Source organism: Homo sapiens, chromosome 13 (assembly GCF_000001405.40).
Source record: "Homo sapiens chromosome 13, GRCh38.p14 Primary Assembly".
NCBI classification, from domain to species: Eukaryota; Metazoa; Chordata; class Mammalia; order Primates; family Hominidae; genus Homo; species Homo sapiens.
The window spans coordinates 71,824,541-71,841,938 of record NC_000013.11 but is presented as its reverse complement, the minus strand read 5'-3'; the positions used below and the strand labels follow the sequence as shown (position 1 = coordinate 71,841,938).

General features: G+C 34.3%; 1 protein-coding gene across 6 annotated transcripts in view, besides 1 other annotated feature; it reads left to right on the top strand.

The window, feature by feature from the left end:
- Positions 1–17,398, top strand: part of DACH1 (dachshund family transcription factor 1) — a 429,239-nt gene that overhangs the window by 25,266 nt on the left and 386,575 nt on the right. The gene's annotated exons all lie outside the window — the stretch shown is intronic.
- Positions 9,618–10,223: an enhancer, noted in NCBI's record as "NANOG hESC enhancer chr13:72405848-72406453 (GRCh37/hg19 assembly coordinates)". NCBI's record gives its function as "activates a minimal SCP1, AML or CMV promoter by ChIP-STARR-seq in naive H9 embryonic stem cells {active_cell/tissue: H9 hESC(naive)}" and the evidence as "EXISTENCE:reporter gene assay evidence [ECO:0000049][PMID:30033119]".

The following is a 17,398-nucleotide window of genomic DNA, read 5'->3' as shown; positions in this document are numbered from 1 at the left end:
AGGTTGAACTATGAAAATTATGAATTATGAATTATGAGATGGCATTTGTAAACTATGTAGAAGTTAGTAGGAATTCAATAAATGCCTTTTGTCATTTTCATTTTTCCAGTTTTCCAGGTCATACCTAGGAAATAAGAGTCAAGAATTAGGACTTATAGTAGAAAAGTCATAATGACCAACTTACTGGCAGCAGCTCTTCAGTGACCTTAGAAAGTGCAGATTGTTTTTCCCCATTTCTAGGCAGTTTGGTCCTCCTTGGTAGTAATATTTGTTTATCTCTAGTGTCACAAACAGCTGTGCTTGTTTGAGTGGGACAACCACCATCAAGAAAAGACTCAAGGCTGGCAGCTGTAACTAAATTTAATTTTCACCTACATTTCACAGTTTATTTATGGTGAGAAGTGTTTCTATGCAAGCATTCTTTCAGTGAACCAAGAAAAATAGTCATATCCAGGCTCTGACAAAGAACTTAAACTTTGGGATTTTGTTAGAGGTAAAATTAAATAAGGAATTTATTCCTTATTAGAAAATAGGTAGTATCCATTAATCAACCTCTTGCCACCTCCTCCCTCCCCGCTCTCCCTTCCCTGTGTGCAATTATTATGTCAATTAAAAATAACAATAAAAGCAAAAAAAAAGAGAAAAGACATAATTATTTTTTAAAGTTCTCTTTTGAGTTGCCTCACAGCACATATACGTATTAAATTTTATATTAATGCTGTTAGAAACCCTGGGAAGAAAATATTGCATCAGATGAAAGGCAGGTTTAGAAGATAGCAAATAAAGTGGTTTAATATTTATAAACTTTTTAGAGTTGAAATCTTATGATTTCATGGCATCCACATATTTTAGGTTTCAGAAAATATACAGCTGCCAGGAAAATGAATATCCTCTTCATGAAGGTTACCCTATTTAGGCTTCTTCTAAAACATACAGTAAAATACTCCTTGGGCTGGTAAAACAACTGTATCATCATAATCTAGATAGAGGCTAAGAACTTTTTGTGTTTCCCATCTCAACTTTGTACATGTTCTTTAATGTTTGTAAGACGGAAAGAAAAGTGATAAACTCTTCATCCAAGCCCATACATCACATCCATCTTGGAAATCTAAGCTTAAAGACATGAATATAAAAAAATTGAAATCAAATTTATCTGCTCAGATATTGATGTGGTCATTAGAAGTTCTTTTTACATACTTTACTGCCTTGCTCTATTTTTATTTTATCACTTCTCTTATTCATTTTGCAATTTTCGTTATTCTTTATCTTAACTTTGTAGCAATGGCAAAGGATACATCTACATTAATGAATTTAAAGCTTCTGAAATGAAAGCAAAATAAGCAGACATAAATATGCAAAGGCCTAGAATGAGAATGTGAAAAAAAATGTTATTTTTCATGGATTGTAAATTGGCCTGGCTGGAGATTAGGATATATCTATTAATCGGGGTTGTGAGATTGCTCTTGAAATATAGGAACCGGCCAGCTCAAGAAGGGCCCTCTGTGATATAATTAAGGAATTTGAACTTTATATTGTAGATAACAATAAATCACTGGGAAATTTTTTTTCCATTGGAAGATTTTTAATTAGGGGAATGATATGATTGAATTTGTGTTTTGGATAGATAACACAAATTGAAGGCGTTTTAAACCAGAGATTTTAATAATCAGTTTTAAATAATTAAGGCTGTAGACCCAGCGTGGTGGCTCATGCCTGTAATCCCAGCACTTTGGGAGGCTGAGGTGGACAGATCACTTGAGGCCAGGAGTTTGAGACCAGCCTAGCCAACACAGTGAAACCCCATCTCTACTAAAAATAGAAAAACTTAGCTGGGTGTGGTGGTGCGCACCTGTAATTCCAGCTACTTGGGAGGCCAAAGCATGAGAATTGCTTGAACCGAGGAGGTGGAGGTTGCAGTGAGCCAAGATCGTGCTACTGCACTCCAGTCTGGGTGACAGAGTGAGACTTTGTCTCAAAAAAATAAAAATAAATAAATAAATACGGCTTTAGTGGGGATATAGGGAGGAAAACATAAAAGAAAAAGTAAACTAAAATGGAAAGACTTGAAAGAGCTGTGTGGGGAAAGAGAAGTAAGTTGACATTAACTCTCTAGTTTTTGCTGAACAGTATTGTAAGTCTAAGATCATGAGGAGGAGAAGGTTTAGTGAACATAAATAATCCATTTTGAAGACTTTGAGTTAGATGCTTGTGAATTATCCAGGGGATGTTAGAAACATATATTTGGAACTCAAGGGAAAAGTTAGGGCAGAAGCCCTAGATTTTGGTGTGAACTCCTTTTTTAATTTTATTTTTATTTTTATTTATTTATTTTGAGACGGAGTCTCACTCTGTTGCCCAGGCTGGAGTGCAGTGGCATGATCTCTGCTCACTACAAGCTCCACCTCCTGAGTTCACACCATTCTCCTGCCTCAACCTCCCGAGTAGCTGGGACTACAGGCGCCCGCCACCACACCTGGCTAATTTTTTGTATTTTTAGTAGATACGGGGTTTCACCGTATTAGCCAGGATGATCTTGATCTCCTGACCTCATTATCCACCCGCCTTGGCCTCCCAAAGTGCTGGGATTACAGGTGTGAGCCACCGTGAGTTTTAACCGTAAAATAATGAATGAGGTTTTTAGATGGATTTCAAAGTTACTGTATGAACTGACATTTTAATAATTTCTTTATGATATTAAAAGCACTGATTTTTTCTCTCTGTCTTCTGGATTCAAGTAACTTTGAAAACCACATATTAACTTTTAAAAGAAAAAAAGCATTCTTAATAATTCTCAGAGGTCAAATATTATTTTTCCATTATGAATTATTCATAGTTAAATGGAAGTCAAACATAGAGACCTGCAGAGAGCAAGTCTTTCTGTGCTGCTGAGTCATGATTGTGACTCGAAGAAATACCTTTATTGTGTTTGATTCTGAGCTTGTGATAATAACTAGTGTCAAAAGATGGGAACATTCTGTACCGGAATTTGAAAAATACCACTGAATAAAAATGAAAGCTCTGTTAACAGAATTCACCTTAAACTGTAAGCTGACCTTTTAATAGAAAAGCTGCTGCAAACCACAAAGGTAGGCTCCACGGAATGCAGCCGCAGATTGAGTTTGCAGAGTGTGCTGGCTGATTCAATCCAATGCTAATGGGAGGACAAGTGCAAAGGATAGTGCCTTTAAAATAAACACAGACAATTAGGAACAACAAATGAAAATCATGATACCATTGAGAAAGTGAGAGGTCATGATCCGGTGCAAGTCATTCTCAACTAACAAACTAAAATTGCTTCAAAATTGCTTTTTAACTCAACTCTCTCACACCAGATGGCTTATAAACAATCATGCACATTGTTTTGGGTGATACGATTGTTTCAAGGGATTGATACCAGAATTTGGTTTCACTATATCTTTATCTTAACAATTCTATGTAGTATTTTTAACTCTTAGAGTCTGTATGTAATAAAAATTCTTTTCTTCACCAAATTGGTGAGTTTGTATGTGCCAAAATATTTTTGTTAAATAAGAGAACACACTTATAATCAAAACCAATGTACAAAGCTATGACAGTTACATCTACTGGAGAATAATGTGTTGTTCTCACTGAACTCCTTTTTGCTAAAACTTCTCCATTTATGAAATTCGTTACTATTGTGCAGCATCTATATATTAAACAATGAACTCCACATCTGCAAACTTTAAATCATCTATTAACTTTAAAACATCTATTAGCAAAAATTGTCCCACTGGGGGCAATAGGAATCGAGTCTACCAGTTTTGTTCTTAGTTTTTGAGTTTATATTTCTCTTACACCTCTTCACTAATAATTAAATGCAGTATCAACATGGTTTTGAAGTTTAAGCTATCCAAGCCATTTGTAGGTTGGCACTTCTTTTTTTTTTTTTTTCCCTCCCCCCTCCCCCCTCCCCACCACAGTCCCCAGAGTGTGATATTCCCCTTCCTGTGTCCATGTGATCTCATTGTTCAATTCCCACCTATGAGTGAGAATATGCGGTGTTTGGTTTTTTGTTCTTGCGATAGTTTACTGAGAATGATGGTTTCCAATTTCATCCATGTCCCTACAAAGGACATGAACTCATCATTTTTTATGGCTGCATAGTATTCCATGGTGTATATGTGCCACATTTTCTTAATCCAGTCTATCATTGTTGGACATTTGGGTTGCTATTGTGAATAATGCCGCAATAAACATACGTGTGCATGTGTGTCTTTATAGCAGCATGATTTATAGTCATTTGGGTATATACCCAGTAATGGGATTCTTAGACCTTTCATACTCACCTATCTGTTTTGCCTGCCATCATTCCTTCGCTTTAATAAGGTCATTTCTGACCTGGTTGAAAAGGAATATAAGCCGTGTTAATTTTCAGGGTTTACCAATGTTGACTATCTATACCTTCTACCTACAGTGGAGAAGCGGTGATAAATAGGAGTAACAGTTACCCAAGTTTCCAGCTCAGGTGTCTGTTACACTCTCACTACTTCAGCAGAGTGTTAAAAAAAACCCATATTTTAGAAATGCTACTTTACAATTGAATAAATAATACTATTACAGAATATGTATAAATATAAGATACTTTTATCTACCATTGAAGTTGGTGAATCCAACAGTCATTTCATAGTAGGTCTACCCAAAAGCTTTCAAGGAAATAAATGCTTTTATATATTATCATACGTGTAAAACTACTCCATGCATAGATCTAGCTTAAAATAAATTCCAAATGAGGAAGTATATTTACTTAATATTACCTTAAATTTGCCTTATTATTTAAGGTAAATATTACCTTAAAAAATGAGAATAATGCATTTTCATTTCCCCCTTAATCTTTCGTTTTCACATTGTTACTCTCTCCTGTTACTACTAGAATTAAGAGGCCTCAGAATTGTGTGTGTGTATGTGTGTGTGTGTGTATAAAGTGATGAAAACTACATTTTATCTACTCAATGCATATTTGTTATGCACCTAATATATGACAGGCATTTCTTCTAGGTGTTTTGGATAAAAATCCCTACCCTCATAGGGCTTCAATTCTAGCACTCATGGTTAGGGGTGGAGAGGGAGGCAATAAAGAATTAACATAATCAATAAGCAAATTACGTTAAAAATAGGACAGAGTGAGAGAGCTTGGGGTATGAAGAGTGGGATAGGTGAAATTTTAAATAAAGTGGTCAGAATGAGGCCTACCTCACTGAGAAAATGACATTTGAGTCAATATTTGAAGGCGATATGAAGAGCTCAAAGGCATTTTAACAGAGCTTATTTTTCTTTGCATTTTCTCTCGCTTTGGTTTCTAGCTTAGTAGAGGAGGGAAATAGGAAGTATGGATCAGAGTTAATGCTATAAAGCTTTGCATTATCTACAAGTAGGAAAATATTACATTTTTTTTCCTGCAATTCTAAGGGACAAGAACAAACTATGCTGCAGATAAAAACTAGGTTTTAAGATCTTTTCTCTGCCACTTGCTGGCTTGGGGATTGTAGGCACGTTTTTTAAAGTCTGTGAGTCTTAGCTTACTCGTCTAAAAGTGGAATAATCTTGGGTGACATTAAATGAAATTATGCATATTAAGCACTTAGCACAGTGAGAGACATAATAACCACTCAATAAACATTGACTATTAATTTTTATTTAATATTTTAGTCTTTTTTTTTGGAAAATGTAGAATTCTTCATAGCCTACCAAATGGGACTTTCTCTCTAATGAGAAATATCTAGAATACTCTATAATGGTACCTTTTTTCTCAAGATGGTGAAAGGAATAAAATGTGTGATTCAGAATTCTTTGGCTAGATTTATTATTAGGCAATTATTGAGCAAGATAAGGTAAGACTATTACCAGTTCCTGAATCTGAGTACCTATGATAAACTGTGTTCAACCGTTCTGCTTTTAATTGGAGTATTAGTGAACTATTTTATTTTTTCAAGTTGGTAAATAGCCTGCAGTGATTACCATTCACTTGGTTTTGTATTAAGAGGTATAAATATCTTAAATACAATAGAAAATTTCCAGATCTCTGCGATTTTATGAGATAGTAGAAGATTTGTAGGAGAATGTTAGAAAATGAATCTGTATAAACTTTAATGTAAACTTCTTTAAAGTGATTTTTTTGTTGTTGTTTGCTAGAAGATTGACTTTCATCACTTCTTTCATTCCTTCAGAGTGGCATAGATAAGGTAACCATAAAATTAATTAGCCGAACTAGGACACTCTTGAGAATAAACAGAAACAATATTACTAATTCTGTTGGGACAATAGGTATAAACTAGGACTATCATGGGCAAATGGGGATATATACAGTCATGGACCAATAGGGCCTCTTTTTTTCACCAATACATAAAGGATCAATCACCAGTAGCTTAGAGATGAGCAGTTTTTAAAAAGTCTGAGATAATTTTTACCTCTGGGATAATTTTAGGAGACAAGACAAAATTACCTTACTTGGAGGCAGGCCAAGAGAACAGGATTCTTACCCTTGTTGTTTTATTTTCATTTTAATAAGCATTACAGAGTTTCTCATGAATGACAGTGATTGCAAAATTGATTGAAAGCTCATTTTAATTCAGACTTCTCCATACAATATTTTTTCTTTAGTTTACTTCTTCCAGTCCTTTTGCTCTGTTTCTTGTATTTGTATACATCTCAGTAAACAAGCCTTTATTTGCCTTGGCAAGCTCTAGGTATTTTATTCATTAAGTGAACAGGCCGGTTTCTTTTCTAACAGACTGGTGGTTACCATTTCAAACAGCTCCCTTTGGTCTATTTTGGTCTTATTGTGACTCTCTGAGCCAACATTTCCAAAGTTTTCACCAGCAAATATGTAGGAAGAACAATGAATTTTGGTGGGGAGTTGAGGAGAAATGGGAAAAATTTTGGCAAGCTTGCTTTTCTGTCTTCTTATCTGTTTGGCAAATTCCTGGGCTGAGCCTCAACACTAAATTTCTCTCCCTGCACATGGACAAACACTGAGAGAAAGACAAATGTGGGAAAAGGGAGAAGTAGAAAAAGCAGAGGTAAAAATGCAATGCCTGGGATTTTCAGAATGCCGACAAATATGTGGGTATCTATTCAGCTTCCAAAAATTATGCATCTTCTCTGATTCCCAATGCAAAAATGTGCACATGATTTCTTTGATCTCAAATGGGTATTATTCCCAATATCGTATTAAAGTCCCAATTTTTGAAATGGGAAAACGAAACCAATTTAAGTAGTGCATCAGATGCCACTTAAATGTTAAGGTGGGTCCACCCTTTATAAAATGAGAGAATTGGTCAAACATAGGCTACAGCGGGGTGCGGCGAGGCAACAGAGCCGTTAAAAAGCGTGTGGAATTCTATGCTGAATTCTTCAAGTTCTGACTTCATTCATGGGACTACTTTCTTTTATATAGATAGTGATTCCAGAAATAATGTCCCATAATAGTATTTCAGAGGTGCTCTTGGGCACAATAGCTCTAGATAGTGGAGATTAGGTAGATATTTGGGGTCTTACTTCACGGGCGTGTTATATGAGAACCTTTGCATCATCCATTTTGCTTCTAATCACGTTTTCCATTTCTGGTGTGTGCTTCCCTCATAACCCTGTTTTTATATCATAACGTTTGCTGTATCAGCACCCATTCTCTTTCCACTGCTCAGTTTTAAATAGCTTCATTATGAAAAATATAGTACTTAAAAACATGGCACAAATGTGTATTACTTCAGCACAAGATAAAGAGATTACTGAGAAGTGCACTGACTGCTGAAGTAACTTTATCCTAAGGGATATTTCGCTACTTTAATTGATTTTTTCTGTCCATTTTATTAAGAGTCCTTGGAGAAGGTAAATGGTAGGTTACCTCCTGGAAACAAAGGAACATTTGACGTATTTGTTATGACTACCAGTGTGTCCATACTTTTGTAAAGTTAAACATTTTTTTCATCATCATTTCAAAATTACTTATACTGATGAATAAAAAGATGAGGATCAGTTAGTTCCAACCCTAGATAGGGTGTACTTGAATTTTAAATATCTTGTGCTATTTCAGAGAATTAATCTACGTTTTACTTATTTATGCTAGTTAATAAATTGTAGTTTTGACAAAACTAGGGATTACAATTTATTGTATCAATTACTATTAAAACATTTTAAGACACTTTTTTATTTTAGCTTCACAAAGCCATCCTAGGCAAAACTGCATGACACTGTCGAAGGTCTTTAAGTGGCGTCTCTCACTGCTCTTAGTTATAAAAGTTTAGATGAATGAATACTCTTATAAATCAAAAAAGCTTATAAAGTACCCAGGCTGTGTCACCAAATCCCATAGTTGGTGTGGGCTCTGAATTGTGATATTCATACAAGTTCAGGAATAGTTAAGTTCCAACATTATCACTCCCACCTGAAATTAGGATACTGTAAAAAAAATTATGATGCTACACAATATGTTTATAAATCTCTGTTTTAGTCTATCAACATCGTTGTTTTCCATCATTCTCTCCACTTATACTTCAAGTAGTAATGTGTACAAATTAGGTTAACGGATGCTTTCAAACAAAATTTAGTTTAAATTTGTTTATTCTCTTTATAAACAAAGATAAACAAAATAAAAAGGATGAAACTATGAGACTTTCATGAGCCTCTTTAAATAACCTAGCTCTGTATCTGGGTGAAAGTGACCTACATCCACTGGACCATAGAACCCATCCCTCAGTGGGTCCTGGGGCAGGTATTTCTCACTGAGCATCCCTAATACTCCTAGCCCAGGTGCTACAGATGAATCTGATGCACTAGGATTCTTTTACATCAATGTTGGCTCTCTCTTACAAAATGTTTTCTCTTCTTGTAGCTTTCAAAACGTTCTATTCACATAGATCTCAGAAGATTCTGAAGGGAGCGCAACTTCCCTGTTAGCGTCTTTCTGAAGCTATATGGATTTCATTAAAAATAAAAATAAAAATAAAAAAGTAGGGAGTGGAATTCAGATTGTTTTACTTAATTGTCTTCTCTCAAAAAAGAGGAAAAATAGAGATAAATTAATTACTCCTCTTTTTAGAATAGTAGGAGTTATCTATATATAAAAACAAAGCAATTTAATGTTGGCTTGGTCATTTAACTTAAATACAATTGAAATGAGAATAAACAAAATGAAACAAACTGCTTTAATTGAACCTAGGTGGCTGGATATCATGCCTTCTCTTACATTTTTACATTTCCAGTAGTAGAAGATGTCTTATTTTGAGAAGCTAAATTGATCAAGGTCTATCATTTGAACAAGTTCCTCTTCTATAATAACAAAAAAAATTTAGGTAGTTCTAACTCTAGCTATGATCTACTTGATTTTTAAGTATAATTTTCTATTTGGGAATATTCAACATCAGTTTTAGTCATCTACAGCCATTTTTTGACAAGAATGGAGATTGCAACTTATTTTATGAAAATTTACTATTAAAACATTTTCTTAGTTTAACTTTTTCTGCTTTTTACATTAAAAACAAAAATCGAAACACTTATTTTTTTATGTTTATGCAGGCCCCATGCATTTTAGCTAATACTTACTTTTGACAATATCTAACATGTTGGAGTCAAATTATTTTGCTATTGGGGAGAACAATACTCTCATTTTTACCATGAATTGTTGCTTTATTGTTTGTATTCCATGGCAATGTTATACATTTTGAAGAAATAAATATTCTCTTCCTTTGTCAATAAGAGATCCACTTCATTTATTCCCATTTAGTTGTCTTCTCTTTGTCAGGATTTAGACTAACGAGAAAATCTTAGAAAGATCCTTTACTGTCTAAACACCAAGCACGCAAATGCTTCTCAATAGAAATAACACAAGAAATGCGTTCAAAGACAATACCTAGCCTGAGAAATTCTTGTGTGCTGACAGCTCTCCAACAGTGTTGTCACAGCAGGAAGACATCAGTTGAAGAAACAGATAGTGACCTCAAAAAAAAGTCTGGTCAGCAGTGTGGACAGGGTTTCACAAGATTATAAATCACCCCAGGGTCGCTCTGTTCCCACCATAAAGAGAGCATGGTCGTTTTATTGTAATCTAATAAGAGATGGGAGCAAAGGACAGCTCCAGTGTGTGTTTGCAAAAAAAATTCTTGATTACAGTTTCAAAACTATACAGTTTCCCTGCTATTGAAGTGCAGATTATAGGGGTTAAGGCCATGTTAGGATTGGATTACCTTTTTATAGCTGTATGTTATCCCTCGGTTCATGAATCAGAAAGTACTTAAATTAAACTGAACATTTGGGAGCAATCCCAGTATGTAGCATGGTGGTAGAAAATTAATCATGATTTTGTGATAGATTATTAAGCTGTTCATTTGAAGGGGGTCTTTCATAGAATCAGAAGATTAACTCTCTGGTGGGTATATAGTAGTACAGAAAAAAGCCCACCCTATATATCACAAGTTATGTTAGGACTCATTTTAGAGGGGAATGATTTAATGAAAGACAACATGCATTTATATAAAAATGTGTATGAGATCAAAACATCACTAGCAGATTTTCAGTTTCTCGGACCTTACTATTTTTTTTTAACTTGTATTTATTAGTTTCTATGTTTATTTTTATATAATACTATTTAACTTAAACCATGTGGTTACTAAATATTTTAAATGGGGCATTTTAACATGAGAAAAACTAACAATTCCATATTCGAAATATTTAGGAATAAAAAAATTACTCCAGTTAGATTAAGAGTTACTGAGGAAATAGTAGCCACAATTTTGAAGGAAAACTCTAAATGTGATGACATTTTAAAATAGCACATGCCTCTTCATTTGCCCTAGAAGCACTTCATGTGGTGGCGAAAAGGCTTTAACTTTATTCAGTCATTTTATCGTTTGTACTTAAGCTTCTTCAACACTATTTGATCTATATACATTTCTGGGACCATAATCAGGCATCCTACCATTTAACTAGATTTTATTCCCTAACATATTGCCTTTGCTTTGTCAGTTTGTTCCTCTGGAACCATGCTGACATCTCAAGATAAGTCCTATCAGTCTTGGGCTATTGACTGAATTTGATTGTGAAGAAGCCATCACTTAGAGTAGAGAGAAACAGGGTGAGGTGTTATTGCTAAGAATATACTTTATGTTATGGTTCTAAAATCCAAAAGTAAATAAGATGGGATTGGCAGCTCTTCCTTTTTTATTAGGCATAAGATAGATTTTGAGAGCTCTTTTTGTCTTGTCTTCTTTTCCCTTCAGGAGTCACAAACCTGGTAGTTTTGCTCTCATTTACTTTCTTGAGCAGAGATGAACGTGAAAGGGAATTCTGGCTCTCGAAGGATATTAGACTGGTCGGTTAAACATAGTGGGTCTTTAATTCATCTCAGTTTATTTTCCACTTGTCAATTTCTCTTTGTCTCTTCCTCATTTATATATGCTTAAGTAGGTGAGTAGACAGATTTCACTGTTTCTCTTTGCCTTAGACTTTCTCTAGTGCTGCTAAAAGCACTACGACAGGAACTGGAAACTGGAAATGATCAATATCCAGACAAGTTCTATTATTTTTTGAATATAGAAAACATTTGTGACTTCTACAACTTCCGTTGGCTGAAAGAACAAAAGCTCTGGGTGTCACTGCAACTTCAAGCTGCAAATGACCAGAACAATAGTACTCAATTTCTTATTCTAATTTACGCTAACTTGATTCTGTTTCCTATTGGCTATCATAAGAATTTTGCCTATATAAATAAGATAAATTTGATTGCAACCTCTCAGATATTTTCTGAATCTGTTAGTGTTGTAGGTGTGTTTCGTATTCTTAACTTTTTTACTACTTATGTTAGTAAAAGATAAATGAATATATCTACTTAAAATATTTGGTGATTTTAAGAAAGTAAGCTATTCTGATTTCCTATAAGTAGAAAACATATCATTGATCATTTATAGTGGAACTACTCCTCTATTTTTACACTCTCCCTAGGTAAAGCATACAAATTAATTCACAGCAACCACCATCTAACACTGGAATTTCTCCTAAGGCTAAGACTTGTGCACAACCATCTGTTTTACATATGCATTTTTTTCTTGGTAATCTTTATTACTAGATGGTCTCAAATAGAAAGTACATAAGTGCAAATGCCAACATGTATTTTTGTTAGTGGTGCTGAATAGACTGGTTAAGGTAGACAAACAAATGTACTTACTTTGATTTATCACTTCTGACATTAGCATGTACCATACTGCTCTCCGGGAAGCAAAATGGTTGCACCTGAGGACAGTGATATAAACACTACTTTGATTATTTGAAACAAACCATTAGGCTTTGATGAAAGAACTATTACCATGGTGGATCCTTTGCAGGAAGAGAATGCTTGGAGATAATGGATGAGCAGCCTAAAATTACTTGTTTAGAATTTAAAGAAGTCAAAGCCTAGGTTTGAGGAGGAAATAAGTATATAAAGCAAATTTAATTTTGTATAAATTTATACAGTTGAATTTTTATTCCCAGTACGTACTTAGTTGCAGTGACTTTCTTGTTTTAGATGAAATTTATCCAAATTAGACAAACTTATTCTAAAGTCAAATTAATTGTGTTTGAAAATTAAGTCCAAAGTCATTCTATTCTATTTTTCAAAAATAATTTCCTAAGATCAGGATTTTATTTATTTGCATCTAGAAACTACCATATGTTTTGTCTTACATTTAAACACACACACAAAACCAAGCCCGATGATGACTTCAATACATATTTATCTTATGTGATTTGTAGATGGAGATTATACTTGGTCAAAGCATGTATATAAAATAGAACCACAAACTATTAAAACTTCCCCAGTCTAAAGAAATTTTATTTAAAAGGTACAATTTAAACTAAAATATTTAAGTTTTTGAAGAGGTTAATGCTTTTAACTTTCTTACGTTAGTACATAAATGTGAACTGAATGTCAGATTAGACAACTTTACTCAGTATTGAAAAGAAAACTACTGGTCTTCAGATAACAGGATTTAAGTGAATTTTTGTGGGAGGGGAGTGAGGAGGAAGAAAGTAGAAAGGGGGTTTAGTGAGTACAAGCATGGCAACAGTATAAGCATAAGGCAACAGCCGTAGTGATGTCTGGATAAGGAACACCAGAAATGAACCTGAAAGACTGGGGGCCTTAGAGACCAGAGAAGCCAGGATGGAAGTGAGGAAGAGTGGGTTACTCAAAGATGGGAACCAGCAGGCTAAAAGGAAAGATCAAACCACAGAGGCACCATGTAATGAAGACAAACTCAGGGTTTTTCTTAACTTTGCCTTGAGCCTACCCTAAAGTCTGTGAAAAACAAAGAACATTTTAAATAGTCTGTCTTATTAAAATGATTTGCTTTAGAGATGGCACATTATGCTTACGCTAATGTTTCATGGTTGAATACATGCTTTTGTGCTACAAACCGTGGTTTATAGTTTAGAAAATATAAAAGTTGAAAAAGATGTTTAAGAACATTATTTTTTATTACCCTACTTTATATTTGGATGTCGATGGCACGGGTGTAACTGGCTTAATTCACCAATGAAGAAATGTAGGTTTCACAGAGGTTAAAGAACTCACTTAAGGTCAGGAACAGTAAGCTGTGGAGAGAGAAGCAGACACAGATCTTATCACTCTGTCCCGAGCCTTTCCGTTACCCTGTAACGCAGCTTAACACTTTTGAAAGATTGTGGTTTCCTGATCCTCAGAGTTCAAGTCTTCCTCAGAAGAGTTTAGCACAGAAAACAGTGCAAAAAATAAATGTCCCTATGTGATTTCATTTTCAGTATATTTCAAGCTAATTTATATATAAATCTTGTTCACAGAGGAGCGGAAAGGTGGCTTCTGTTTAGTAGCATTAAAGGCAATCAATTTGTGTTGCAGATATTGACACAGCACCTGAATTTACATAGCTCTGGTGCAGGACCTCTTCTTTACTTAGTTAATCAAAAGCTATCAGAAGAATTATAAATTTACAGATAACCTCAGGTAAATAGGAAATGATTTTATGTGATTAATAGCACTATTCTTTGTTATTGTCCACTACACAATGCAGTTGCTCTGAAATTCAGTCGCTGGTTTTCAAAAAAGGAGCCCAGGCGCTTGCCTTAATGAAGGATTTGCTATTTAATCTTTGCCTTAAAATTGTGAATATAGGAAATCCTAATCAGCTATATATTTATGACTTTTTCTCCTATTCTTTTCTCACTTCTTCAACTGGCATGCACAGTCTGAAGTTTTATTATTAGTGACATAAATTAAATTGTAAATGTTTAAAGGGCACTGTCACATTGAAGGTGAATCCAATGTTTTTATAAACTTAATAAGGAGCGTTCTATCAATGACCTTATTCTTCTGTAGTACGTTGACAATCTTTTGATGTAGTCCTCACTCCCTTGTTCTCAGCTCATTCTCTGGGTCTGCTGGCGCTTCTGCTATTATGGAATCATTTGCTGGTTGAATGAATGTTTTCTCAAGTTTGGAACTTACTGTGCAACCCAAAGATGCCTTACCAATTAGGTTGCACGTTTATTTTGTTTTTTGCCATCTTGGCATTGAAGGCTATATTCTTCAAATTAATGAAGGCCATGTTGTAATAATTAGTTTTAAGTTTCTGCAGCCAATACGTTATATAACAGGAGGTGATCTAGTTCACGGAGTTGTAAGTCAGTAGGTTGGCGATTCAGCCCCGCCTGCATCCCTGGAAACAATGATTGTAATATTGCCTTCTTAGATATTGGTAAGGTGGAACTAGTAAGCTGTGTTTAGAGGCATAAAAATGGATTTGCATGCTGGAGTTTGGACTCTAAGGCAGCAAAGTCCAGCTTTTTCTCTTCTACTCTATTTCTTTATTTTCCATCAAAAATCATTTCACATTTAGATTATCAAAGTGAGTCTAGAATGTTAGAATCCACTATCAAGATAATAATAATACTCCCACTCTCCTGGATGTTCTTAATCCTCATCCTAGTGGAATTTGAATGTCTTAGGAAAATCCTGTACATACGTAATTGTAAAGCTTTCGGAAGACTTTGGTTCAGGATTACTGATGCTTCCCTATTCCAGCTAATAGTAAATGAAGATTCACGCAATTAACCCCAGTTGAGCAGTCAACAGTTTGTGAGTACTTTCTTGGTCAGGCACTCTTCTGGTTGCTGAAGAGAAAATGGTTAAGAAAGTGGCAATTTCTGAGTCCTCAAGGATCTACTTCGGAATATACATATATAAAGATGTAAGTGAAATAAAATATATTAAATGCCCTTTTATATGTGTAGGTATGCATATACATATATAATAGGCATCATTATATATAATTAATCATATTTTATTTTACTTGTATCTTTATGTATACACAACTACATGCCCTTATGGCAGCAGAGGTAGTGGTGGCAAAACAAACCTCAGTGGGATGGCATGGACAAGTAGGGGAATGGGAGAAGAGACAGGTTATAGATGTTCCTAGGAATGCCATCTAGAGGAGGACCAAAGGGAGAAGGTACCAGCTGGCCACGTGAGAAATCATGATCACAGCCTTGCTCATAAGAAATGGTTTTGTGTAGCCTGGAAAACTGCAACCATTTTGAGGTAGAGTACTGGGAGAAAATTCTTGAAAAGTAGGAAAGACTTAGATCAAAGGAAGTTTCTTTTATTTGTTTATTGTTGAACTGATTTAATTTAGAATCATTAAAAAGAAACCTAAAATTCAGTGCTTATCAAAATAGCAATATGTCATACAGAATCAGGATTAGGAAAAGAAATGATAAAGTTGGCAAATATGTTTTATTTTGATATGTATATACTATATGCAACACAATTTTGTTGCTGTAAAATGTAACTTTTAATGGGAAGCAGTCAAATGGATATTTGAATACACATTTTTAATTTCCAGTTTTTAAGATGCAAAATTTGGAATCAGGATTGATATGCCAAAGGCAGTGGACTCAGGGTGTGAATTCTTTCCATCTCTTTAGCTTTACATGTGCATGGATACAGCTGTTTGCATGGTTGCCAGATGTTAGACTAGGGGCTTCAGGAATATATTCCATGTATTGGCTCCTTCCCAGAAGCAAAATATTATAGATTCTAATAATGTTCTTGAAATATAAATACAAGTTGTCTTTATTTTTAGACTTTTTTAGGTGTCAATCAGAAACATATTGAATAAATATATGTCTACCTAAAACCTGGTACACAAGTGTTCATAGCACCATTATTCATAATAGCCCAAACAAAATAACAAGCCAAATGTCCATCAGCTGATGAATAGATAAATAAAATGTGGCGTATCTATCCAATGTGTATTACTCGGTATTAATAAGAAATAAAGTGCTGATACATGGTACAACATGGGTGAACCTTGAAAACATTGCGCTAAGTGAAAGAAGCCAGCCACAAAAGACCACAGCTACATGATTCCATTTGTAGAAATTGACCAGAATAGGCAAAATTACTCACACCTAAAGTAATGATTGCCTAGGTCTAGGGATTGGGGTGGAAAGTGACACTTAATAAGTATGTGGTTTCTTTTAAGGGGAACAAACATATTATAAAATTGAACTTGGTAATATATAGCCCTGTAAATATACTAACATCATTGAATTGCATACTGTAAATTAGTGAATGTATGATAGGTGAATTATTTATCAATAAATCTGTGAAAAGGAAGTATATTAAATAGCTTGGATAAAGGAGTGAGTTAAATAATGCAAAATTATCACCTGTGCAGTTTATTTTTTATAAAATTCTTAAGTAAAATATGAGGACTAAATTAGTAAATGAAAGAGAAAACTAAATATGAAGCACATAAGACATTTAAGAGCATCTTTTTTGTTATTTCGTTTGAAATATGTTTAAACCTTTAATCCATCAATTTTGGTATGTGTGAAAATTAATAAATTAATAGCTCTCTTACCTTCCAAGTCAATCAGTGATGATTTTCCCATTTCTTTCTCCTGTGGGGGCCTCCTTAAGACTTCATTATTTGGGTCATTCTTTGAATTTAATGGCATGTTTTTTTCCAATTATGAAAATAAATTTTAAGCAACAGTATTAAAATTCCCATGTTTATGAAATGTATAAATAGTAATATCCTCAGCTTTAAATTGCTCAAGTCAATGATTGTGTTTGGACAGAGCTTCCACTTTATTGACTTTATGAGAGGAAAAAACAGAAATATTTTAGGACAAATTCCTCCATTGTGTAAACTACTCCCTGAGAGTAGTAAGGAGTGAGAATAACTCTTTTGATGAAGTAGTAATTGAAATAATACCCTGGGGACGAGAAAGAGTTATTTTCCAAAGCAGAAGAAATGATGTGGAGAATTGTAGCTTTAGCCAAAAGAAAAACTCTAGTTGCAGACCTAGGAAAAATTAAATATCATCCCTTCCCTCTCTCACTCATTCATTCATTTATTTTTCA